The 27192-nt window shown below is 37.9% G+C and overlaps 1 protein-coding gene, 1 long non-coding RNA gene and 1 other non-coding gene across 16 annotated transcripts in view; 1 reads left to right on the top strand and 2 right to left on the bottom strand.

Moving 5' to 3' along the window:
* CCDC150 (coiled-coil domain containing 150) overlaps positions 1-27192 on the top strand; it is a 93092-nt gene that overhangs the window by 46207 nt on the left and 19693 nt on the right. For 11 of the 14 annotated variants that reach the window (XM_006712438.4, XM_017003863.2, XM_017003861.2 and 8 more), the window contains 3 exons: positions 9125-9238; positions 15188-15259; positions 26224-26331. In XM_006712438.4, coding sequence (XP_006712501.1) covers positions 9125-9238; positions 15188-15259; positions 26224-26331 — 294 coding nt within the window. Of the gene's footprint in view, positions 1-9124; positions 9239-15187; positions 15260-26223; positions 26332-26755; positions 26819-27192 lie in introns of all 14 variants that reach the window. The other 3 variants (XM_047443975.1, NM_001412753.1, NM_001080539.2) reach the window with 2 other exon arrangements.
* On the bottom strand, positions 225-409 carry LOC124900529 (small Cajal body-specific RNA 16). The gene has a single exon (XR_007088722.1).
* LOC100130452 (uncharacterized) lies at positions 14713-27091 on the bottom strand. Its single transcript, NR_034036.1, has 4 exons — positions 26955-27091; positions 26810-26873; positions 24626-24723; positions 14713-14920 (listed from the first exon to the last, which is right to left on the bottom strand). It is a non-coding gene; the product is annotated as an uncharacterized LOC100130452 (long non-coding RNA).

Below are 27192 nucleotides of genomic sequence, written 5' to 3' on the forward strand. Positions count from 1 at the left end.
GTTTTTCTTTCAGCATTTTGAATATGTCATCCCACTGCCTTCTGGCCTCAACTTTCTGATGAGAAATCAGCTGTTAATCTTACTGAGATTATCTTGTACATCAGGAGCCACTCCTCTCTTGATACTTTCAAGATTTTGTGTCTCTTGCTTTCAACAGTTTACTTATGTTTGTTTTGGGGCATGTCTTTTACACTCATTCCCACAGTTGGCAACTGTCCTTTAGCTTGCATTTCTGATATCACATGATCAACAAACTGCTGCTGGAATGCTTACACCTGTTACTGCAAATTCAAAACCCAGGAAAGACTTCTCCTGGGAATTTACTTTATGTCAGGCTTGGGCTGCCTGGTACATGGCTGCACCCACAGCTGGGCAAGTTCAACAACACAGTAGCCTTTCCACAGACTATGATTATTGTAGCTTTATAATAAATCGTGAAATTAGGTAGAGTCCTCCAACGGTGTTATTTTCCTAAAGTGTTTTAGCTATTTTAGTTCATTTGCTTTTTCATGTATGTTTTAGAATGACCTTAATGATGTTTTGTGGGGATTTCAACTGAAATTAGAGTTAACATCTCAGCAATATTGAATCTTCTAATACAGTTAGGTTGTCACTTGATGGAGATACATTCTCAGAAATGCATCTCTGGGCAGTTTTGTTGTCGTGCAATAGAGAGTACTTACACAAACCTCAGTGGTCACACCTAGGTTTTTTTTTTTAACTTTTAAGTTCAGTGTACATGTGCAGGTTTGTTACATAGGTAAATGTGTGTTACGGGGATTTGTTATGCAGATTATTTCATCACCCAGATATTATTATTTTTCCTGATTCTCTCCCTCCACCCACCCTCCACCCTCTGACACACCCAGTACTTGTTGTTCTCCTCTGTGTATCCATATATTCTCATCATTTAGCTCCCACTTATAAGAGAACATGCAACATTTGGTTTTCTGTTCCAGTGTTAGTTTGCTAAGGATAATGGCCCCCAGCTCCATCCATGATCACGAGGACGTGATCTCATTCTTTTTTATGGCTGCATAGTATTCCATGGTGTATATGTACCACATTTGCTTTATCCAGTCTATCATTGATGAGCATTTAGGTTGATTCCATGTATTTGCTGTTGTGAATAGTGCTCCAGTGAACATACACACATGCATGTATCTTTATAATAGAATGATGTATATTCCTTTGGGTATATACCCAGTAATGAGATTGCTGGGTCAAATGGTATTTCTGTCTTCAGGAATTTGAGGAATCGCCACACTGTCTTCCACAATGGTTGAACTAATTTACACTCCCACCAACAGTGTGCAAGTGTTCCTTTTTCTCCACAACCTCACCAGCATCTGTTATTATTTGATTTTTTGACTTTTTAATAGTAGTCATTCTGACTGGTGTGAGATGGTATCTCATTGTGGTTTTGATTTACATTTCTCTGATGTTCAGTGATGTTGAGCTTTCTTCATATGATTCTTGGCCACATTTATGTCTTCTTTTAAGAAGTATCTGTTTATGCTTTTTGCCCACTGTTTAATGAGGTTGTCTTTTTCTTGCAAATTTAAGTTCCTTATAGATGCTGGATATTAGACCTTTGTCAGATGTATAGTCTTTCATTCTGTAGACTGTCTGTTTACTCTGGTGATAGTTTCTTTTGCTATGCAGAAGCTCTTTAGTTTAATTAGATCCCATTTGTCAATTTTTGCTTTCGTTGCGATTGCTTTTGACGTCTTTGTCATGAAATCTTTGCTCGTGCCTATGTTCTGAATAGTATTACCTAGGTTGTCTTCCAGGGTTTTTATAGTTCTGGGTTTTATATTTAAGTCCTTAAGCTATTTTGAGTTAATTTTTGTATATGGCATAGGGAAGGGGTCCAGTTTCCATCTTCTGCATATAGCTAGCCAGTTATCCCAGTCCCATTTATTTAACAGGGAATCCTTTCCCCATTGCTTGTTTTTGTCAGGTTTGTCAAAGGTCAGATAGCTGAAGGTGTGTGGTCTTATTTCTGGGTTCTCTATTCTGTTCCATTGGTCTATGTGTCTGTTCTTGTACCAGTACCATGCATGCTGTTTTGGTTACTGTAGCCCTGTAGCATAATTTGAAGTTGAGTAGCATGGTACCTCCAGCTTTGTTCTTTTTGCTTAGGATTTTCTTAGCTGTTCAGGCTCTTTTTTGGTTCCATATAAATTTTAAAATAGTATTTTCGAGTTCTGTGAAGAATGTCAATGGTAGTTTAATGGGAATAGCATTGAATCTGTAAATTGCTTTGGGCAGTATGGCCATTTTAATGACATGATTCTTCTTATCCATGAGCATGGAATGTTTTTCCATTTGTTAATGTCATCTCTCATTTCTTTGAGCAGTGTTTTGTAGTTCTTGTAGAGACCTTTCACCTACCTAGTAGCTGTATTCCTAGGTATTTTATTCTTTTTGTGGCAACTGTGAATGGGAGTTCATTCATGATTTGGCTGTCAGCTTTACTGTTGTTGATGTATGGGAATGCTAACGATCTTTGCACATTGATTTTGTATCCTGAGACTGCTGAAGTTGCTTATCAGCTTAAGAAGCTTTGGGGCTGAGGCAATAGGGTTTTTGAGATATAGGATCGCATAAATGTCTTCCTTTGAGAAGTGTCTGTTCATGTCCTTCGCCCACTTTTTGATGGGGTTGTTTGTTTTTTTCTTGTAAATTTGTTTGAGTTCACTGTAGATTCTGGATATTAGCCCTTTGTCAGATGAGTAGGTTGCGAAAATTTTCTCCCATTTTGTAGGTTGCCTGTTCACTCTGATGGTAGTTTCTTTTGATGTGCAGAAGCTCTTTAGTTTAATTAGATCCCATTTGTCAATTTTGGCTTTTGTTGCCATTGCTTTTGGTGTTTTAGACATGAAGTCCTTGCCCATGCCTATGTCCTGAATGGTAATGCCTAGGTTTTCTTCTAGGGTTTTTATGGTTTTAGGTCTAACATTTAAGTCTTTAATCCATCTTGAATTAATTTTTGTATAAGGTATAAGGAAGGGATCCAGTTTCAGCTTTCTACATATGGCTAGCCAGTTTTCCCAGCACCATTTATTAAATAGGGAATTCTTTCCCCATTGCTTGTTTTTCTCAGGTTTGTCAAAGATCAGATAGTTGTAGATATGCGGCGTTATTTCTGAGGGCTCTGTTCTGTTCCATTGATCTATATCTGTGTTTTGGTACCAGTACCATGCTGTTTTGGTTACTGTAGCCTTGTAGTATAATTTGAAGTCAGGTAGTGTGATGCCTCCAGCTTTGTTCTTTTGGCTTAGGATTGACTTGGCGATGTGGGCTCTTTTTTGGTTCCATATGAACTTTAAAGTAGTTTTTTCCAATTCTGTGAGGAAAGTCATTGGTAGCTTGATGGGGATGGCATTGAATCTGTAAATTACCTTGGGCAGTATGGCCATTTTCATGATATTGATTCTTCCTACCCATGAGCATGGAATGTTCTTCCATTTGTTTGTATCCTCTTTTATTTCATTGAGCAGTGGTTTGTAGTTCTCCTTGAAGAGGTCCTTCACATCCCTTGTAAGTTGGATTCCTAGGTATTTTATTCTCTTTGAAGCAATTGTGAATGGGAGTTCAGTCATGATTTGGCTCTCTGTTTGTCTGTTATTGGTGTATAAGAATGCTTGTGATTTTTGTACATTGATTTTGTATCCTGAGACTTTTCTGAAGTTGCTTATCAGCTTAAGGAGATTTTGGGCTGAGACAACGGGGTTTTCTAGATATACAATCATGTCATCTGCAAACAGGGACAATTTGACTTCCTCTTTTCCTAATTGAATACCCTTTATTTCCTTCTCCTGCCTAATTGCCCTGGCCAGAACTTCCAACACTATGTTGAATAGGAATGGTGAGAGAGGGCATCCCTGTCTTGTGCCAGTTTTCAAAGGGAATGCTTTCAGTTTTTGCCCATTCAGTATGATATTGGCTGTGGGTTTGTCATAGATAGCTCTTATTATTTTGAGATACATCCCATCAATACCTAATTTATTGAGAGTTTTTAGCATGAAGGGTTGTTGAATTTTGTCAAAGGCCTTTTCTGCCTCTATTGAAATAATCATGTGGTTTTTGTCTTTGGTTCTGTTTATACTATGCAGCCATAAAAAATGATGAGTTCATGTCCTTTGTAGGGACATGGATGAAATTGGAAATCATCATTCTCAGTAAACTATCGCAAGAACAAAAAACCAAACACCGCATATTCTCACTCATAGGTGGGAATTGAACAATGAGAACACATGGACACAGGAAGGGGAACATCACACTCTGGGGACTGTTGTGGGGAGGCGGGAGGGAGGAGGGGGGAGGGATAGCTTTAGGAGATATACCTAATGCTAAATGATGAGTTAATGGGTGCAGCACACCAGCATGGCACATGTATACATATGTAACTAACCTGCACATTGTGCACATGTACCCTAAAACTTAAAGTATAATAATAATAAAATAAAAAACCTACCTAAAACGTTTTAATTGTACATATACTTGAAGTTAATATGTAAATTCATATATGTAATTTAAAATAGGTAAATTCATATAAATACATATACATATAAATTCATTTGCCAGTTTTTCATGGAAAGCTAAGACCTGTGCTTTGGTTCTAGATAAGCTGATAAGAGTTCTGTATGATCTCTCTGGAATAAATCATATCCATAGTGAATATTAAAAAAAAAAAGAGTTACAGGATCATGTCATCTGCAAACAGGGATAGTTTGACTTCCTCTTTTTCTATTTGAATGCCCTTTATTTCTTTCTCTTTCCTGATTGCCTTGGCCAGAACTTCCAATATTGTGTTGCATAGGAGTAGTGAGAGAGGGCATGCTTGTCTTGTGCCAGTTTTCAAGGGAAATGGCTCTACCTTTTGTCAATTCAGTATGATATTGGCTGTGGGTTTGTCATAGATGGCTCTTATTATTTTGTGGTATGTTCCTTCAATACCTAGTTTATTGAGAGTTTTTAACGTGAAGGGATGTTGAATTTTATTGAAGGCCTTTTCTGCATCTATTGAGATAATCATGTGGTTTTTCTCTTTAGTTCTGTTTATGTGATGAATCACATTTATTGATTTGCATATGTTGAACTACCTTGCATCCCAGGGATGTAGCCTACTTGATCATGGCAGATAAGCTTTTCGATATGCTGCTGGATTCAGTTTGCCAGTATTTCACTGAGGATTTTTGCATCAATGTTCATCAAGGATATTGGCCTGAAGTTTTCTTTTTTTGTCATTGTATCTCTGCCAGGTTTTGGTATCAGGATGCTGCTGGCCTCATAGAATAAGTTACAGAGTAGTCACTCCTTTTCAATTTTTTGGAATCATTTCAGTAGAAATGGTACCAGCTCTTCTTTGTACCTGTGATAGAATTCAGCTGTGAATCTGTCTGATGCTGGCTTTTTCTGGTTGCTAGGCTATTTGTTACTGCCTCAATTTCTGAACTCGTTATTAGTCTGTTCAGGGATTCAATTTCTTCTTCCTGGTTAAGTCTTGGGAGGGTGTATATATCTAGGAATTTATCTGTTTCTTCTATATTTTCTAGTTTATGTACATAGAGGTGTTTTTAATATTCTCTGATGGTTGTTTGTATTTCTGTGGGGTCAGTGGTAATATCTCCTTTATCATTTCTGATTGTGTTTATTTGAAACTACTCTCTTTTCTTATTTATTAGTCTAGCTAGAAGTCTATCTATTTTTTTTTTTTTAAAACAGCTCCCGGGCTGGACACGGTGGCTCACGCCTGTAATCCCAGCACTTTGGGAGGCCGAGGCAGGTGGATCACGAGGTCAGGAGTTTGAGATCAGCCTGGCCAAAATGGTGAAACCTCGTCTCTACTAAAAATACAAAAATTAGCCAGGCGTGGTGGCATGGGCCTGTAGTCCCAGCTACTCGGGAGACTGAGGAAGAAGAATTGCTTGAACCTGGGAGTCGGAGGTTGTAGTGAGCTGAGATTGCGCCACTGCACTCCAGCCTGGGCAACAGAGCAAGACTCCATCTCAAAAACAAAACAAAAACAGCTCCTGGATTTGTTGATCTCTTGAATGGTTTTTGTGTCTCTATCTCCTTCAGTTCACCTCTGATTTTGATTATTTCTTGTCTTCTGCTAGCTTTGAGATTTGTTTGCTCTTTGTTCTCTAGTTCCTTTAGTTGTGAAGTTAGGTTGTAAACTTGAGATCTAATTTTTTTTTTTTTTTTTTTTTTTTGAGACGGAGTCTCGCTCTGTCGCCCAGGCCGGACTGCGGACTGCAGTGGCGCAATCTCGGCTCACTGCAAGCTCCGCTTCCCGGGTTCACGCCATTCTCCTGCCTCAGCCTCCCCAGTAGCTGGGACTACAGGCGCCCGCCACCGCGCCCGGCTAATTTTTTGTATTTTTAGTAGAGACGGGGTTTCACCTTGTTAGCCAGGATGGTCTCGATCTCCTGACCTCATGATCCACCCGCCTCAGCCTCCCAAAGTGCTGGGATTACAGGCGTGAGCCACCGCGCCCGGCCGAGATCTAATTTTTTGATGTGGGAATTTAGTGCTATACATTTTCCTCTTCATAGTGCCTTAGCAGTGTCCCAGAGATTCAGGTATGTTATCTCTTTTTTCTCATTAGTTTTAAATAACCTATTGAATTTTGCCTTAATTTCATTACTTACCCAGGAGTCATTCAGGAGCAGGTTGTTCAATTTCCATGTAGTTGTGTGGTTTTGAATGGATTTCTTAGTCTTGAATTCTAATTTGATCGTGTTGTGGTCCAAGAGACTGTTATAATTTCCGTTCTTTCACATTTGCTGAGGAGTGTTTTGCTTCCAATTATGTGATCAATTTTAGAGTAAGTGCCAAGTGGCAATGAGAAGAATGTATATTTGTTGTTTTGGGGTGGGGAGATCTGTAAATACCTGTCACTTCCATTTGATCTAGTGCTGAGTTCAGATCCTGAATATCTTTGTTCATTTTGTGTCTCCATGATCTAATATTGTCAGTGGAATGCTAAAATCTCCCACTGTTATTGTGTGGGAGTCTGTCTCTTTGAAGGTCTCTAAGAACTTGCTTTGTGAATCTGGGTGCTCCTGTGTTGGATGCATATATATTTAAGATATAATTCTTGTTGAATTGAACTCTCTACCATTATGTAATGCCCTTCTTTGTCTTTTTTTGTCTTTATTGGTTCAAAGTCTGGTTTTTCAGAAACTAGGATTGCAACCCCTGCTTTTTTCTGTTTTCCATTTGCTTGGTAGATTCTCCTCCATTATTTTGAGCCCCTGACATGTCTAGGTTATATAGTGTAGCTTGTTGCTCCAACCATTGTTGTGTATGTGGTCCGTCATTGACTGAAACATTGTTATGCAACACATGTCGGTAAATGAACATGATTATCTCTCTGTTTTATTTTGGTTTTTTATTTCACTCAGTATTTCATAATTTTCAGCACATCATATCTTAGACATATTTTGTTAGATTTGTACTTAAAGAATTTCATAGTATTAGTACTGTTTTAAATGGCATTTTAATGAAACGTGAATTTCCAATTGTACATTGTTAATATATAGAAATACAATAGATTTGCCCTTATATCCTTCAGCCTTGACACACTCACTTACTCTAGCATCTTTTTTGGAGGTTCTTCGGGATTTCCTTTTTAGACAATCATATGTCTCGAGTAGAGACAGTTTTATTTCTCCTTTTCCAATCTTAATGCCTTTTATTATGTTTTCTTGCCTTATCGCACCAGCTATGGCCTCCTGTATGATGTGGAATAGGAGCGGTGAAAGTGGATACCTTTGCCTTTTCCCAGTTTTAGGGGGAAAGTTTTTCACTATTAATATTGATATTAGCTGTAGGATTTTTATGGATACATTTTTTAATCAACTAGAGGTGGTTCCCTTTCATTTCTGGTTTGCTGAGTTTTTATAATGAATTGATGTTGAATTTTATGAAATTCTTTTACTGCGAGTATTAAGATGGTTATATGGGTTTTCTTCTATAGTCTATTGAAACGGTGTATTATACTGATTTATTTTGAATGTTCAACAAGCTTTGCATTACTGAGTTAAGCTTCACTTATTCCTAATTTATTATCTTTTTATATATTGCTGGGTTCATTTTGCTAATATTTTGTGGAAGATTTTTTTTTTTTTTTTTTTTTGAGATGGAGTTTCGCTCTTGTTACCCAGGCTGGAGTGCAATGGCGTGATCTCAGCTCACCGCAACCTCTGCCTCCCTGGTTCGAGCAGTTCTCCTGCCTCAGCCTCCCAAGTAGCTGGGATTATAGGCATGTGCCACCACGCCTGGCTAATTTTGCATTTTTAGTAGCAATGAGGTTTCTCCATGTTGGTCAGGCTGGTCTCGAACTCTTGACCTCAGGTGATCCACCTGCCTCAGCCTCCCAAAGACCTGGGATTACAGGCGTGAGCCACCGCTCCTGGCTGGAAGATTTTTGCATCTATATTCATAAGCTTGAATTGATTTTAAGTAAATACCAGAAGGACTTTAACTTATAGTAAAGGGGAACTATATAATTTACGATATCCCTTTTGCTGAGGGCAACTAGAAAAACTCAGAAAATGGAAAAGAGAGAAAAAGGGTTCTTTTTAGAAAAAATGTTAGACCCACAAACCACACAGAGAAAAGGGTTCTTAAAAACATTATAGAGTGGCTGGACTCTGTGGCTTATGTCTGTAATCCCGGCACTTTGTGGGGCTGAGGCGGGCAGATCACAAGGTCAGGAGTTCGAGACCAGCCTGAACAACATGATGAAACCCCGTTTCTACTAAAAATACAAAAATTAGCTGGGCATGGTGGTGCGTGCCTGTAATCCTAGCTACTCAGGAGGCTGAGGCAGGAGAATTGCTTGAACCCGGGAGGCAGAGCTTGCAGTGAGCCAAGATCACACAACTGCACTCCAGCCTGGGTGACAGAGTGAGACTACGTCTCAAAAAAGTAAAAAATAAAAAATCATAGAGCTATCAGACTGACTGGTCATATTTCCACATTTAGAGGCAAGGAAACATATGGACAATACTGTCCATTTTACAGTTGTAATTGTCATTTTAAAAATAAGATAATACTTTTTGCATCTGGCGTAAATAGTTTCTTTTTTACTTTTGTTTCTTTAAAGGTAGACATAAATACATTAACTCATAACCTGCAGACTCTTGAAGAAGAGAATAAGCACCTGGCAGATCAAATGGCTTCCCTAGAACTTCAGCAAGTCACTTCTGATTACCATGGGGTGGGTATAAAAAGATCAGTCTAAATAGCAATTAATGACTAATGAGTTCAGAAATAACAACAACCAGAGGTCAGGAGATGGGTTTTCTTTGTGTTTTCATAATTATTAAAAATCTAAGCAGAGATTCTTACAGTATTCAAACAATAGTGATTTGAGAAACCAAGAATTTAAGGGATTTATTAAACATTTGCCTTCACAATCTGTGTTACTGAAAAATACAAATATATCTGATGTTTTAAAATAGTTCCTCTTCCATAAATTATGAGCAAGAAACTTGTATTTTTTTTCTCATCAGACAGTTTCCTCCATTAGGCAATCAGTAATAAGTCTGATTTCTGAAAGCTATTTGACAAGGTCAGTGCATTACAAATAAGTGGTACAGTTCTTAAAATACCTTCTCCAGGTGGGGCGCGGTGGCTCACACCTGTAATCCCAGCACTTTGGGAGGCCGAGGCAGGTGGATCACGAGGAAAGGAGATTGAGACCATCCTGGCTAACACGGTGAAACCCTGTCACTACTAAAAATAGAAAAAATTAGCCGGGCGTGGTGGCGGATGCCTGTAGTTCCAGCTACTCGGGAGGCGGAGCTTGCAGTGAGCCAAGATCAGGCCACTGCACTCCAACCTGGGCGACAGAGCGAGATTCCGTCTCAAAAAAAAAAAAAAAAATCTTCTCCAAGTAAAGGGGATTTGAAGATATGGTCATTCTGTTAAGTAGCTAATAATTTTCTTGTGTGCTTTCGAATACATGAAAAAGTATTACTTACTTGCTTTTAAGCATGCAAATAATCTTTGAAAATTCCTAGAAGACCCCGATGTGACTCTGTTTTAACCTGAGCTAAAGTCTTTCAAACTGTTATAAGCTGCTCATTACTTCAACTATGAAAAATTATACAGACTAAGTCTAAATCTTCTTATATGGTCATGGTTTTCAAGCCAGATTTCCTACTTTTGAGTTTTGGCTGTGACCTCGGGTATGATCCTTAACTTGTCTGAGCCTCAGTTTCTTAATCTGTCAAAATGAGGATAATAATGCTATAACTGTGGATGTTTGAGCTTAAGTAAATTAATACACACAGAACATGTAGCAGATAGCTAACATTTATTGAATTCTTAGTATCTGAACTGTCTCAGAGAAAAAAAAAAAGCCTGTAAGTGCCTATTGGAATGACAAGATCCATTAGCTGTAATCCCTGGTATTATTTCAGACCAACCCTCTCTCTCTGCAGAATTAAAGATTCAGCCATGTCCTTTGCTGGTTGGCCAGCCTCAGCTGGGTTCCTTTGGGAGACCACATTCTCAGTCTGACTGATTCTTTCCTGAATCCATTGCCAGTGAGCAGGCCTAGCCTTACCCTATTAATGACTTTGACAGATCTTGCCAGTGATTTGGTCAGTGTTGATTTTTGCCTGCCTACCATGTCTTGATTACAGGTTCCCAATGATGACTCATAGATAACGCAATTCTAGCTTGCAGCTCTGTCTCCACCCAGAAGCGTCTCTGACCATGCCTGCCTGGAAATGCTTCGGTTGGCTATATGAGTTTGAGGAATGAGCTAGGGATTTCAGGATTTGTTTTTAAATCTTAGCAATATCATTAAATCTATTGTCATTCAATGCTGGCAGTGTATTTTTGTTCTTTGAGAGTAAAAACTTGAAATTCTTTATAAAGAGTACCATCTGGTCTAACCCATTGATTTTTGGAGATACACATGACTGTGTGTTGTGTGTGTAACATCACAAACTTGAATTCAGATAGACCTGGTTTCAACCTCCATTTACTGTGTGACCTGGGCAGGTTCTTAACCTCTCATGGCCTGCAATGCCAAGAGGATCTCTTCTAGTGTAGGTATCCCACAGTATACTCTGCACATCCATATCAGAATAATTACTACATTGATTAGAAATTGGCCTGTTTATGCATCTGCATTCACTCTCTTCTAATGCAGGAACAGTAGTTACTCATCTTTATATTCCCTTGCCTAGCATAATGCCTAATACATAATAGGTGCTTTAAAAACATTGATTGACTAGAATACAAAGAAGGTCATGTCTGTTTTGCCAGGCAGTAAGGATTAATATCATATTGCAATAATAAATATTATTCTCTGCTATTTCTTTCATATTTCCTAATTTCAGGGGTTTTTTTTGTTGTTGTTGTTTTTTGCCATTTTAGCCTGTAGTGATAGTGCAATTTAATTCCATTACCACTGGCAGTCACGCAGGGAACCACAGTGAGAAAAGATCCAAATGTAGGAAGGTTACCATGCCTGAGTTCAGTTTGAATGATTTTCCTCCCCACTTCTCTTTTGGGGTTTAAACATATATTTTAAAATTGTAGCACCAGACAGGAATATAATTCCCTGTACAACTGGGACTTTAATGACTTGAAATTTAAAAATGAACTAAAATGTATTATTTCTTAAAACCAGGATGACATTGTCAGTGTACACTCATGCAGATGTCTAAGTTGGTTTGATTTGCTGGGGCTCATGTCATACTGTTGTTAAATATTTTGAATAAAAAATTCAAAATAATAAAAAACTTTAAAAAATGCTTACAATCTGCTTATAAAGTAGCTTTACCAAGATGCCAGTATCCTACTGGTTTTGTGTATTCTTCTAACAGCTTCTGCTAACTTGTACAGCTCACCTAGATTTAAAAAATGATTTTAGAAATAATTTTGTGGCTTACTGTTGATCTTTGGCAACCTGTCTTTCATATCTTAAGATAATTCTTCCTATTTTTACTTCCTGCTTTTCTAAAGAATGGTATCTTTGTGTTTCTGAGTTAAAATGGATATTCTAATGTTTGGTATCTTTCTCTGTATGATGTTTCTCAAGTGATTCCCCAGTTTCTGTTTTGCTCTGTGTACTAATAATGTTTATAGTATATTACCAAGAGTATTTAAGCAAAAGTTAATTTCAGTTCACTCTTCTGTAACTCAAAACCTGAGATATTCACTCATTTAAGTGGTTTCTAATTTCTTGTCTCCTGTTGATGAAAGTACAGGGCCTATTTAAATCTGTAAACAGTAATTTAAGTAACTGCCTTAACATCCACTTTCCCTTAGCAACTTGGAACAATTATTTTGTGTGTGTGTCATAATATTTAAATAAGTGAGCCTTTGTCAAATATTATCACATTTTGATTTTGCTCAATTTTCGTTTGTACATTAGCATTCTCTTTAGTGGCAAAATAGGAAAATTATTGTTTTAAAAGTATATTTAAAAGATTAATGGAATTTCTTTATGCCTTTGCCTGAAAGAGGGAATTGTATTGATAGGGAAAAAGCTCCATTATTTTTTAAATTTCTGGTCACCTTTTATAGAAGACTCAGATAATTTAAGTTATTCTTTAAAAAAAACTTTCCCCATTTCAAGAAGATAGTTATATTTGAGTGTTTAGCATTTGTTAGAGCTAGCATATTTTAGGTTAACTCTAGTTCTTGGTTTTTTATATGTTCTTACCTATGCTTTACAGCACACTGAGACATCTTAATTTGTAGAAGTTTGAATCGAATTTTAAATAAGCTTTTTTTTAAAATTATACTTTAAGTTTTAGGGTACATGTGCACAACGTGCAAGTTTGTTATATATGTATACATGTGCCACGTTGGTGTGCTGCACCCATTAACTCGTCGTTTAACATTAGGTATATCTCCTAATGCTATCCCTCCCCCCTCTCCCCACCCGGCAACAGGCCCCAGTGTGTGATGTTCCCCTTCCTGTGTCCATGTGTTCTCATTGTTCAATTCTTGTAGCTTTGCTTTTGTGGTATTATTGACCATCCTTACAATTTATTTGCTGCTGAAGACTTGGTCAACATAATCCTAAACTGTAATGTTACATTCATGGAATGATTTTGTATCATAGTTCCCAAAACAGATAACATTTTGGCAAAGAGCACTGTGTTTTCCGCAAAAATTAATCAATGATGAACTAACTTTGTGATAATATATTTATCATCATGAGTTTCCTATTTATTGATAGCAGTCTACATTTTGCTCAGGTTATTTTGAAACCAATACTCTACTGGTCTAAATGCTTTTTAAAACATATTTTCCTTTGCCTTAGTGGGAGCAACACAGTGATTTTAAAAACTTTTAAAAACTGAATTATGAATATGTATAATAATGTATGAAATAAATATTAATTCTGACAGGACAAATACTTGGTCTAATAGTTAATAATCCACCAAAGCCTAATATTGGGTATAAGTTTTTATATTAAAGGTGTATGATTTTACGGTAGGTGGTATACAAGGGCTTTTCCATAGATTTTTATCAAGTGTTGAACGTCAAAAATGAAAATTCTTCTAGCCAAGGCAACTGCTAAGGAGAAAACAATGCTCTAGACTACTGTGCCTTTTTTTTTTTTGAAATGGGGGTCTTGCTCTGTCTTCCAGGCTGGAGTGCAATGGCACCATCACGGCTCAGTGTAGCCTCGACCAGCTGGTTTCAAGCAATTCTCCTGCCTCAACCTCTCAAGTAACTAGGACTACAGGCATGCACCACTATGCCCAGCTAATTTTTTAATTTTTTGTAGAGACAGGGTTTTGCTATGTTGACCAGACTGGTCTTGAATTCCTGGCCTCAAGTGATTCTCCCACCTCAGCCACCTAAAGTGCTGGGATTACAAGTGTGAGCCACTGTGCCCAGCTTAGTGTGCCTTCTCATAGAAAATATCTTGAACAGAGGAAAATATGAGTTACAGATTATAGTAATCTAGTTTGGAATGTGTTTTTGCTTTTATTTAGAAGCAGGTGTGGTAGGTTCACACACTTAAAATAAAGGATATTACAAAGTGGTGACTAAAGAATAGCTGTAATCATGTTGGAGATAGTGAGGAATATCTCTTATGTAAATTAATATATGGGTTTTATCTTATCAGCTTACCTAAAATTGAACATAAAACAAAAGTCTAAAATTCTTTGGCTTAAAATGCCTAAAAGGCACTCTGTTCTGTTATTCACAGAATAAGCAAATATAAACCAGAAATAGTGAATAATGTCAATATGAGATACTTACCAACATTAATAAGACTTTGAACTTAAGATTTACTGCAAATGATCCATAGTGCAGCTAGTTAGCTTATGAGTGATTAAGAGTTTGTGTCTTCAGTCACATTTGCTTTGTGTGCATTATCTCCACATTTGGTTTATGAAGATGATTTTGACATATGGCAATATTTCCTGTTATTAAGATATAACACTGGCATTGATTGTGGAGAGTGAAAAGTCCATGTTCAATCACTTAATGGTGCCCCTCATATAAAGAAAGTACCAATATGGCCCAAAATTTAAATTTTGTACTTATTTTTTTCTGATGTAGTCTGAGAACAACAGGATATGAAAAAATAACTGTCATTATTAAAGGCTGTTTGAATAATGAAAATATGTAATTTCGTGAAATATGAAAGCTTTGGTAACGTTTGCCCCAGATAATACTGTGTTGAGTATTTGATCAAACAATGAGTTTGAGTCTCCAATAAACATTTATTTTGTTTTTGAGATTTTTCTAAACTGCTTTTTACCATGGTAAGTGAGGTGCCTTCTGCTGTCAGTGGTCCTGGTCACTTGCAGCTGCTATTTCCGTAAAGAACTGTGTAATGCTCCACAGACTACCTGCAGTCACTGATACAACCACACCACATCCATGCTGGATCACAACTACAAAGGAATAACTGACATAACAAAAAAAGTTAATATACAAAACCAACAAACTCTGGTACTCTTAAAGCTTCATGCTTTTATTAGCAGTCTCTGTACATGTTGCATATTAGCCCTGTGATCAACTATGTAGGAAAAGACTAAAAGCAGCAGTAGCAAATAAATAGGAATCTTGATCTTATGATGATAGAAATGGTAAGGATGTAAATACTTGTTTAAAAATGAAAATGGTTATTCCTTTCTATGCCTAGAGGTTCTGATGCCTTTGTTTGCCTTATCAGCTTGCCCAACAGAAGGTGGAAAAAATCACTGAAAGTAAAAATAAACTGGCCTATGAAAACGGAAAACTCCAGGTATGAGATTTATTTTCTGATTTTTCTTGTTTGAATTTTAAAAATACCAATTATCAAATTAAATATTGCTAGATTTTGAGAATACCTAGCTCTGTCATTTACTAAGTCTATAGTCTCTGAACATCCTTAAGTTTGTGGCCTCATTAATAGCCAGGTGACTTCTGTTTACATACTGTAGTTGCTGAAACCTAAAATTGTGAAGCCAAAACCCATTCTGTGACTATTTGAAACTTTATTATAATCATTTTATGCATGGTCATTCACTGAGAATGTAGAAAGCCTATACCTCTTTTTGCTGAATTTTTATAACACATTTCTAAAAAGAAATAAATCTGGAAACAGACTCAGAGGCAATTGAGTGAATGTGATGATACTGTTCTTTTGCTGCCTGTGGGTTTTGTCCCTATGGTACCCCAGAGCAGGAAGCCTGCAACTGATATAGGTAAGCCTGACTTAAACTAACTCCAATGGAAACACTGCAATCCAAATCAGTGGTGCTAAGTCTTAGCTACACATTAGAATCACTAGGCAGTTTTTAAAATTCCTCATGCTGGGAAGTGTATGATATCTGCCATTTACTTTGAAATGCAGCATAGAAAAAATAGGTTGATGGATGGATAGAGGAAATGATAAATGGATAGATACGTGATAAGCAAATAAAAGAATATTAATGGTAGAATTTGGATGGGATGGTTGGTGTATGCATGTTCACAGTAAAATTCTTTCCATTTTTCTATATATTTAAAACATTTTATAAAATGTTGGGGGAGGCTGTGCGTGGTGGTTCATACCTGATCCCAACACTTTGGGTGGCTGAGGCAGGAGAATGGCTTGAGGCCAGGAGTTTGAGACTAGCCTGGGCAATATAGCAAGACCCTGACTCTACAAAAATTAAATAAATAAAAATTAGGCAAGTGTGATGGCAAGCGCCTGTAATCCTAGCTACTTGGGAGGCTCAGGTGGGAGCCCCAAGTGGGAGGATCACTTGAGTCCAGGAGTTGGAGGCTATGGTGAGTTATGATCATGCCATTGCATTCCTGCCTGGGTGATAGAGTGAGACCCTGTCTCTAGAAAAAAATGAAGGGGGAAAATTCCCATGACTAGAAAGGCATTCCAGAGCAATTAAATCAAAATCTCAGGGGATAGTTCCTTGACTGAAGTGCTGTGTGTGTGTGTGTGTGTGTGTGTGTGTGTGTGAGATGAGGTCTCACTCTCTCATCCAGGCTGGAGTGCAATGGTGCAATATCTGGGCTTGCTGCAGCCTCTGCCTTCCGGGCTCAAATGTTCCTCCCACCTCAGTCACCCAAGTAGCTGGGATTCAGGTGTGCAGCACCATACCCAGCCAAGTTTTTTCATATTTTTGGTTTTTCCATGGAGATAGGGTTTCTCCATGTAGCCCAGGCTGGTCTCGAACTCCTGAGCTCAAGCAATCTGCCTGCCTTGGCCACCCAAAGTGCTGGGATTACAAGAGACTTCAGTACTTTTTAAAGCTACTCAGATGATTCCAATGTTACAACCATAGTTGAGGCCCACTAGATTAAATAGTATGAAGTGAAGCCCAGTTAGGCTTGGCAACCGTCCTAGTCTGTTTTCTGTTGCTATAACAGAATGTCTGAGACTGAGTAATTTGTAAATTAAAGAAGTTTATTTGGCTCATGATTCTGGAGGCTGGGAAGTCCAGGATCATACACCCTATCTGTGAACACCTCATGCTGACTCATGTCATGGCAGAAAGCAGATGGGAGAGTGGGTGTTTGCAAAGAGACCAAACATAAGAGGCAGCCTCACTTTATAACAACTCAAGAGCGAGAACTTATTCACCCATGTGAGACTGCATTAACCCTTCATGAGAGCAGATCCCTCATTACCCAAATACCTCTTAAAGGTCCCACTACCTCTCAACATTTAATTACATCAGCAGTTAAATTGCAGCATGAGTTTTGGCAGGGTCAAACCACATCCAAACCATAGCAGCAACTATGGAGCTGATTTGATAAGTAATCTCACTAGAAGCTTGCCGAACACATCAGCATTAACCTCATCCTCATCTACTCAAAGGGTTTACCATAGGGTTAGCAGACAGGATAGGGCCCAGAAATAGCAGGCCATCTAAAAGGTAGTCGATAAGCCATGCTTGCGGAACAATACATTACTAGAACAATAAAAAGAACTACAATAAAAAGAATTACTAGAACACCTATTAATATTAATATTTTGCAGAGGTAGTGATGCATTTAAATATTATCTACATTTATGTGACCGTGGAAAGATCTTAATTTTCTTGAGTTTCATCTTAATCATCTATAAAATGATGAGGATAAGCACACCTCTCTTATCTACTTCTCATTGGGAAAAATAGGCTACATTACAGGCTGGGTATATACATCTTTACAGGCATAAAATAACTTTCCCCTTTCTGAAATGAATGATCTTATAAGAGGCTATGACCCATGACTTTAACCTTTTTTTAGTTTTTCCAAGAAAAATGAAATATATTATGAAATATATAAGACAAATCCCAGGCTCTCATGACAGACTTAAAGCCAAATTTTGACTGGGAATGAAATATATTTTATAATTTATGGATGGGTCTGATGTTCTGTCTGACCTTTTAAACCTCAACTATGCAATCTTAGAAATTATCCAGATTCTGTGTAATCATAAAGGAAATACATGCCTGTTTGCTGTTCATATTCCTATAATAAGAGTTTAAGATTTTTGATAGTCTTTGAAGAAACACTTTTTGAACTATTGTGAACTATTGATTCATTGGTGCTTTTATGTCAGGTCTTGGGCTGCCACATTCCAAAAGCACTGACTTCATCAGCTCTAGGGAAAGTGCTCTTGGAGCACATAACTCTTACAAGACAATTTAAAGGAAGAGCTGTATACTAAACATAGTCAAAACAGTAGTCTGCTGTGTGTTCTCAACTGGATTAGAATGGATTAAAAATATACATATGAATTGTATTTGGTAAAAGACTACATTTTCAGAATCAACTTGTTAATGAATGATATAAATACTGGATTTTGTGTGTTAATGTAAACTTTATTGGAAACTGCTGCCTCATGTTCAAACATGGTTTGAACTTCCTTTTCAGTGCTGTACAGTATTCCATTATGTAAATATGCCACAATGTATTTATTCCTCTGTTGATGGATAATCGGCTAGTTCTTAATTGCTTGCAAATAATAACAATGATGATATGATGAATTTTTGTACCTGTCTCCTTATATACAGAAGATTCTCTCAGCTAAATATAAAATTCTTAGGAGTAGAATTACTGGGTTTTAGGATGTGCATATCCTAAGTTTTACTAGATTTTGTTATATTTCCCCTTACTAAAAGTAGTTATGCCAGTTTTAAAATCAGTATTTTTTTAATTATACTTTAAGTTCTAGGGTACATGTGCACAACATGCAGGTTTGTTACATAGATATACATGTGCCATGTTGGTTTGCTGCACCCATTAACTCATCATTTACATTAGGTATATCTCCTAATGCTATCCCTTCCGCTGCTCCCCACCCCACGACAGGCCCCGGGGTGTGATGTTCCCTGCCCTGTGTCCAGGTGTTGATGTTGTTCAATTCCCACCTATGAGTGAGAACATGGGGTGTTTGTTTTTCTGTCCTTGAGATAGTTTGCTGATAATGATGGTTTCCAGCTGCATCCATGTCCCTGCAAAGGACATGAACTCATCATTTTTTTATGGCTGCATAGTATTGAATGGTGTATATGTGCCACATTTTCTTAATCCAGTCTATCATCTATGAACATTTTGGGTTGGTTCCAAGTCTTTGCTATTGTGAATAGTGCCGCAATAAACATACATGTGCATGTGTCTTTATAGTAGCATGATTTATAATCCTTTGGGTATATACCCAGTAATGGGATGGCTGGGTCAAATGGTATTTTCTAGTTCTAGATCCTTGAGGAATCACCACACTGTCTTCCACAATGGTTGAACTAGTTTACACTTCCACCAACAGTGTAAAAGCATTTCTGTTTCTCCACATCCTCTCCAGCATCTGCTGTTTCCTGACTTTTTAGTGATCCCCCTTCTAACTGGTGTGAGATGGTATCTCATTGTGGTTTTGATTTGCATTTCTCTGATGGCCAGTGATGATGAGCATTTTTTCATGTGTCTGTTGGCTGCATAAATGCCTTCTTTTGAAAACTGTCTGTTCATATCCTTCGCCAACTTTTTGATGGGGTTGTTTTCTTGTAAATTTGTTTAAGTTCTTTGTAGATTCAGGATATTAGCTCTTTGTCAGATGGGTAGATTGCAAAAATTTTCTCCCATTCTGTAGGTTGCCTGTTCACTCTCATGGTAGTTAGTTTATTTTGCTATGCAGAAGCTCTTTAGTTTAATTAGATCCCATTTGTCAATTTTGGCTTTTGTTGCCATTGCTTTTGGTGTTTTAGTCATGAAGTCTTTGCCGAGGCCTATGTCCTGAATGGTATTGCTTAGGTTTTCTTCTAGGGTTTTTATGGTTTTAGGTCTAACATTTAAGTCTTTAATCCATCTTGAATTAATTTTTGTATAAGGTGTAAGGAAGGGATCCAGTTTCAGCTTTCTACATATGGCTAGCCAGTTTTCCCAGCACCATTTATTAAATAGGAAATCCTTTCCCCATTTCTTGTTTTTGTCAGATTTGTCAAAGATCAGATGGTTGTAGATGTGTGGTGTTATTTCTGAGGGCTCTGTTCTGTTCCATTGGTCTATATATCTGTTTTGGTGCCAGTACCATGCTGTTTTGGTTACTGCAGCCTTATAGTATAGTTGGAAGTCAGGTAGCATGATGCCTCCAGCTTTGTTCTTTTGGCTTAAGACTGCCTTGGCAATGCGGGCTCCTTTTTGGTTCCATATGAACTTTAAAGTAGTGAAGAAAGTCATTGGTAGCTTGATGGGGATGGCCTTGAATCTATAAATTACCTTGGGCAGTATGGCCATACGGCATTATGGAAGAACAAATATTCTTCCATTTGTTTGTGTCCTCTTTTATTTTGTTGAGCAGTGGTTTGTAGTTCTCCTTGAAGAGGTCCTCCACATCCCTTGTAAGTTGGATTCCTAGGTATTTTATTCTCTTTGAAGCAATTGTGAATGGGAGTTCACTCATGATTTGGCTGTTTGTTATTGGTGTATAGGAATGCTTGTGATTTTTGCACATTGATTTTGTATCCTGAGACTTTTCTGAAGTAGCTTATCAGCTTAAGGAGATTTTGGGCTGAGACAATGGGGTTTTCTAAATATACAGTCATGTCATCTGCAAACAGGGACAATTTGACTTCCTCTTTTCCTAATTGAATACCCTTTATTTCTTTCTCTTGCCTGATTGCCCTGGCTAGAACTTACAATACTATGTTGAATAGGAGTGGTGAGAGAGGGCATCCCTGTCTTGTGCCAGTTTTCAAAGGAAATGCTTTCAGTTTTTGCCCATTCAGTATGATATTGGCTGTCAGTTTTTCATAAATAGCTCTTATTATTTTGAGACAATGTTCCATCAATACCTAGCTTATTGAGAGTTTTTAGCAGGAAGAGTTGTTGAATTTTGTCAAAGGCCTTTTCTGCATCTATTGAGATAATCGTGGTTTTTTCATTGGTTCTGTTTATGTGATGGATTATGTTTATTGGTTTGTGTATGTTGAACCAGTCTTGCATCCCAGAGATGAAGCTGACTTGATTGTGGTGGATAAGCTTTTTGATGTGCTGCTGGATTTGTTTTGCCAGTATTTTATTGAGGATTTTCACATCAATGTTCATCAGGGATATTGGTCTAAAATTCTCTTTTTTTGTTGTGTCTCTGCCAGGCTTTGGTATCAGGATGATGCTGGCCTCATAAAATGTGTTAGGGAGGATTCCCTCTTTTTCTATTGATTGGGATAGTTTCAGAAGGAATGGTATCAGCTCCTCTTTGTACCTCTAGTAGAATTTGCCTGTGAATCCGTCTGGTCCTGGACATTTTTTGGTTGGTAGGCTATTATTGCCTCAATTTCAGAGACTGCTATTGGTCTATTTAGAAGTTCAATTTCTTCCTGGTTTAGTCTTGGGAGAGTGTATGTGTCCAGGAATTTATCCATTTCTTCTAGATTTTCTGGTTTATTTGTGTAGAGGTGTTTATAGTATTCTCTGATGGTAGTTTGTATTTCTGTGGGATAGGTAGTGATATCCCCTTTATCATTTTTTTATTGTGTCTATTTGATTCTTCTCTATTTTTTTCTTTATTAGTCTTGCTAGCAGTCTATCAATTTTGCTGATCTTTTCAAAAAACCGTCTCCTGGATTCCTTGATTTTTTTGAAGGGTTTTTTGTGTCTCTGTCTCCTTCAGTTCTGCTCTGATCTTAGTTATTTCTTGCCTGCTGCTAGCTTTTGAATTTGTTTGCTCTTGCTTCTCTAGTTCTTTTAATTGTGATGTTAGGGTGTTGATTTTAGATCTTTCCTGCTTTCTCTTGTGGGTATTTAGTGCTGTAAATTTCCCTCTACACACTGCTTTAAATGTGTCCCAGAGATTCTGGTACATTGTGTCTTTGCTCTCATTGGTTTCAAAGAACATCTTTATTTCTGCCTTAATTTTGTTATTTACCCAGTAGTCATTCAGGAGCACCAGGTTGTTCAGTTTCCATGTAGTTGTGCGGTTTTGAGTGAGTTTCTTAATGCTAATTTGATTGTACTGTCATCTGAGAGACAGTTTGTTGTGATTTCTGTTCTTTTACATTTGCTGAGGAGTGCTTTACTTCCAACTATATGGTCAATTTTGGAATAAGTGTGATGTGGTGCTGAGAAGAATGTATATTCTGTTGATTTGGGGTGGAGAGTTCTGTAGATGTCTATTAGGTCTGCGTGGTGCAAAGCTGAGTTCAAGTCCTGGATATCCTTGTTAACCTTCTGTCTCATTGATCTGTCGAACATTGACAGTAGGGTGTTAAAGTCTCCCACTATTATTGTGTGGGAGTCTAAGTCTCTTTAAAGGTCTCTAAGAACTTCCTTTATGAATCTGGGTGCTCTTGTATTGGGTGTATATATATTTAGGATAGTTACCTCTTCTTGTTGAATTGATCCCTTTACCGTTATGTAATGGCCTTCTTTGTCTCTTTTGATCTTTGTTGGCTTAAAGTCTGTTTTATCAGAGACTAGGATTGCAACCCCTGCTTTTTCTTGGTTTCCATTTGCTTGGTAGATCTTCCTCCATCCCTTTATTTTGAGTCTATTTGTGTCTCTAAACGTGAGATGGGTCTCCTGAATACAGCACAGTGATGGGTCTTGACTCTTTATCCAATTTGCTAGTCTGTGTCTTTTAATTGGGGCATTTAGTCCATTTACATTTAAGGTTAATATTTTTATGTGTGAATTTGATCCTGTCATCATGATGTTAGCTGGTTATTTTGCCCATTAGTTGATGCAGTTTCTTCATAGCATCAGTGATCTTTGCAATTTGGCATGTTTTTGCAGTGGCTGGTACCGGTTGTTCCTTTCCATGTTTAGTGCTTCCTTCAGGAGCTCTTGTAAGGCAGACCTGGTGGTGACAAAATATCTCAGCATTTGCTTGTCTGTAAAGGTTTTTATTTCTCCTTCACTTATGAAGCTTAATTTAGCTGGATATTAAATTCTGGGTTGAAAATTCTTTTCTTTAAGAATGTTGAATATTGGCCCCCACTCTCTGGCTTGTAGAGTTTCTCTGAGAGATCTGCTCTTAGTCTGATGGGCTTTCCTTTGTGGGTAACCCGACCTTTCTCTCTGGCTGCCGTTAACATTTTTTCCTTCATTTCAACCTTAGTGAATCTGACAATTATGTGTCTTGGGATTGCTCTTCTTGAGGAGTATCTTTGCGGTGTTCTCTGTATATCCTGAATTTGAATGTTGTCCTGTCTTGCTAGGTTGGGGAAGTTCTCCTGGATAATATCCTGAAGAGTGTTTTCCATCTTGGTTCCATGCTCCCTGTCACTTTCAGGTACACCAATCAAACGTAGATTTGGTCATTTTACATAGTCCCATATTTCTTGGAGGCTTTGTTGATTTCTTTTTACTCTTTTTTCTCTAAACTTCTCTTCTCGCTTTATTTCACTGATTTGATCTTCAATCACTGATACCCTTTCTTCCACTTGATCGAATTGGCTATTGAAGCTTGTGTATGCATCACGTAGTTCTCGTGCCATGGTTTTCAGCTCCATCAGGTCATTTATGGTCTTCTCTACACTGTTTTTTCTAGTTAGCCATTCGTCTAATGTTTTTTCAAGGTTTTTAGCTTCCTTGCAATGGGTTCGAACATCCTCCTTTGGCTCGGAGAAATTTGTTATTACCGACCTTCTGAAGTCTACTTCTGTCAGGTAGTCAAAGTCATTCTCTGTCCAGCTTTGTTCCGTTGCTGGTGAGGAGCTGTGATCCTTTGGGGGAGAAGAGGCACTCTGGTTTTTAGAATTTTCAGCTTTTCTGCTCTGGTTTCTCCCCATCTTTGTGCTTTTATCTACCTTTGGTCTTTGACATTGGTGACCTACAGATGGAGTTTTCATGTGGATGCCCTTTTTGTTGATGTTGATGCTATTCCTTTTTGTTTGTTAGTTTTCCTTCTAACAGTCAGGTCCCTCAGCTGCAGGTCTGTTGGAGTTTGTTGGAGGTCCACTCCAGACCCTGTTTGCCTGGGTATCACCACCGGAGGCTGCAGAACAGCAAATATGGCTGCCTGATCCTTCCTCTGGAAGTTTTGTCCTGGTGGGGCACCCGGCTGTATGAGGTGTCAGTTGGCCCCTACTGGGAGGTGTCTCCCAGTTAGACTACATGGGGGTCAGGGACCCACTTGAGGAGGCAGTCTGTCTGTTCTCCGAGCTCAAACACTGTGCTGCGAGAACCACTGCTCTCTTCAGAGCTGTCAGACAGGGACGTTTAAGTCTGCAGAAGTTTCTGCTGCCTTTTGTTCAGCTATGCCCTGCCCCCAGAGGTGGAGTCTACAGAAGCAGGAGGTCTTGCTGAGCTGTGGTGGGCTCTGCCCAGTTCGAGCTTCCCTGACTGCTTTGTTTACCTACTCAAGCCTCAGCAATGGCGGACGCCCCTCCCCATGCCAGGCTGCTGCCTCAGACTTCTGCGTTAGCAGTGAGCAAGGCTCCGTGGGCATAGGACCCGCCAAGCCAGGCGCAGGATATAATCTCCTGGTGTGCTGTTTGCTAAGACTGTTGGAAAAGCACAGTATTTGGGCAGGAGTGTCCTGTTTTTCCAGGTACCATCTGTTACGGCTTCCCTTGGCTAGGAAAGGGAAATCCCCTGACCCCCCTTGCGCTTCCCGGGTGAGGCGATGCCCTGCCCTGCTTTGGCTCACCCTCTGTGGGCTGCACCCACTGTCCAACCAGTCCCAATGAGATGAACCAGGTACCTCTGTGAAAATGCAGAAATCACCCGTCTTCTGTGTCGGGCACGCTGGGAGCTCCAGACCAGAGCTGTTCCTATTTGGTCATCTTGGAATGGAATAGCCTAAAATCAGTATATTTAAGAGGGCATATTAAATAGGTACATTAGAGTTACATGTGTTAACATGGATGAATCTCATAAAACAATACTATATACTGTTTAGGGATACATATAAAGTTATTTTTTAAAGAATAGGAATGATAGATTCAGCAAAATAGTTAACTGTAGGATAGAAGGAGATTTGGTTGGGATAGGCTACACAGAAGCTTTCAATTTTAACGGTAGTTTTTTTTTTTAAGTTCAGTGGTGGATAGATGGGATGATGGCATATATGTCTGAAAGATTTCCAGCATTTTTAAAGTTGTTTTTAAACATATGTCAGTTTGAGTTATTTGGCCTCACTCTAATCTACCATTGGCCCCATCACTTAACCACTAGGATTTCAACATTGTGTTAGCTGCCTGGCCCCTATAAGCAACTGCATTTGTGACCTTAATTTAGAAGTTAGGTAAGTGCTTGGTTTACCTTGTTTTTTACAGTTAATTTCTTGTTGAACTATAGCATATATACTGAAAAGTACACAGGGCACAGCCTGATGAACTTTTTATAAAGTAAATATAGCTATGTGATCAGCACTCAGATCAAGAAACAGAACATCCCTAACACCCAGTACCCTCTTCCAGTAACTGTCACCCACAAGGCTAATTAACCATCCTGATTTCTAACACCCCATTCAAATGTTAACAGTTGCTGAAAATGTCCAGTAGCTAGTGAAAGAGATGTTTGCACTCTACAGATAGGAAACAAGATATTGAGAGATGGAACTGTTGATTTAAATAAAATTTTGGATGAAAATTTTCCTGATTTAGGGGTAGGTTCGGTAACGTTAATTGTTGTGTGTGAATGGTTTGGGGATAAGAGGAAGCAAATATGGAAAAACGTATAATTTGGAGATTTATAAGTATATATTAAATGATTTTGTCCTCCAAAATGATAATTTTCTTTGAAGAGAGACTTGTGAGTATCATCTTTATGAATTAGTTTTAAAATATAATTCAACATATAAGAATTCCATTTATTCAACTTTTATAATATTGTGTCAGTGAAACACAAGACTCTGCCTGTTCTCCACCCCATTCCATTCTTCTGGTCTGATATGTCTGCTTCTTGCACATTGACAGTTCTAATTATACACATTCAAAAGGGTTTTGAATGCCAGGTACCACAATTCAAATATATTAGCCACAAATTTTTGAATTACATTAGCCACAAAATCTCACTGTTATATTCATGAGTCATGTCCATTTGGAGGCCTATAAGCACTAGAAACCAAATGAGTTATCTCAGTACATTTAAATGGCTACAGAGTGTATATCATTTTTTGCATGATTAAACTTAGGATTGCTTTTTGCAAGTTTTAAAGATTCTCTGTAATTTTTTTTTTTTTTTTTTTACAACTCATGACCCTTTTTCCCCCTTCTGGAGTATATAAATATGTGTAAATATATATGTTTAAATGTTTTATTTTTTAAAATTTTTTTTGTATTTTTGTTTTTCCTCTAGATAAAAGTTAAACAGCTAGAAGAACAAGTACAGTCTTTTACTGACACCAGCTTACAGAATGATCATCTACGCAAGATGAATAAGTATTTACAGACTAAATATGCTCAGGTGTGATTAATATCTACAAAAGCGGATTGCTGCTATATTTCGTTTTTAAGAAATTGTTTGATGTCTTTTTCCCCACTTTACCACACAATCCCAGAAAGATAAATATGCTGTCACTTGACTCAGTTTAACAAACTTTTTTTCAAGCACCTAGTACATACAAGGTTCTGCTAAAGCCTCAGAAATTGTAAAGATACCTGAAGCAGGATTGAGACATTCAACTTGCTTATTATAGTTAGGAAATGTACTCCATAAACTTTATTAGAGAATAGAAAGTTATGCTTTTCAGAAAAATAGATTGTATTACTGAACATTCATAGGGAGCATTATTATGAGTAGAAGCAGTGAGAAATGCTTTCATAAAGGCAGTGCTTTTTAAAATTTTGGCAGTTGTGAGGAACAAGTATCTTTGTTTTTTGAATTAAAGGCAAACTCAGAACTCAGTGCCAAGAGGGTACACCTGCAGCAGGCAGATGCTCACCTGAAAGAAGTATTGGTAATGAAAGTGCTTACTTGTCAGCATGGTGGCTCTTGAAGCTAAAAACCTTTCATAGTTCACATAATATTTTAACGAATGAATAGAAAAAGTTAAGCAAGATAACAAAAACATTTAGTGAAGAACATACCCCAGGAAGGTGTTACCAGAAGAAAGTGACTCATTTCAATTATTTACAAATTTAGCACTCATATCATTAGGTTATTTTTTAAATCATTAACTCTTAATAAAAGCATATGTAACTTCTGTGTCTATGATATTTGTGTATCTATACCCCTGGTAACCAAGGAACTAAAATATGTTTTCAAATGGAATACTCATAGAGTTCTAACCACTTGACTCTGCTGATGAGTGATGAGGTCACAGAG

The sequence above is a fragment of the Homo sapiens genome, chromosome 2, assembly GCF_000001405.40.
Source record: "Homo sapiens chromosome 2, GRCh38.p14 Primary Assembly".
NCBI lineage: Eukaryota > Metazoa > Chordata > Mammalia > Primates > Hominidae > Homo > Homo sapiens.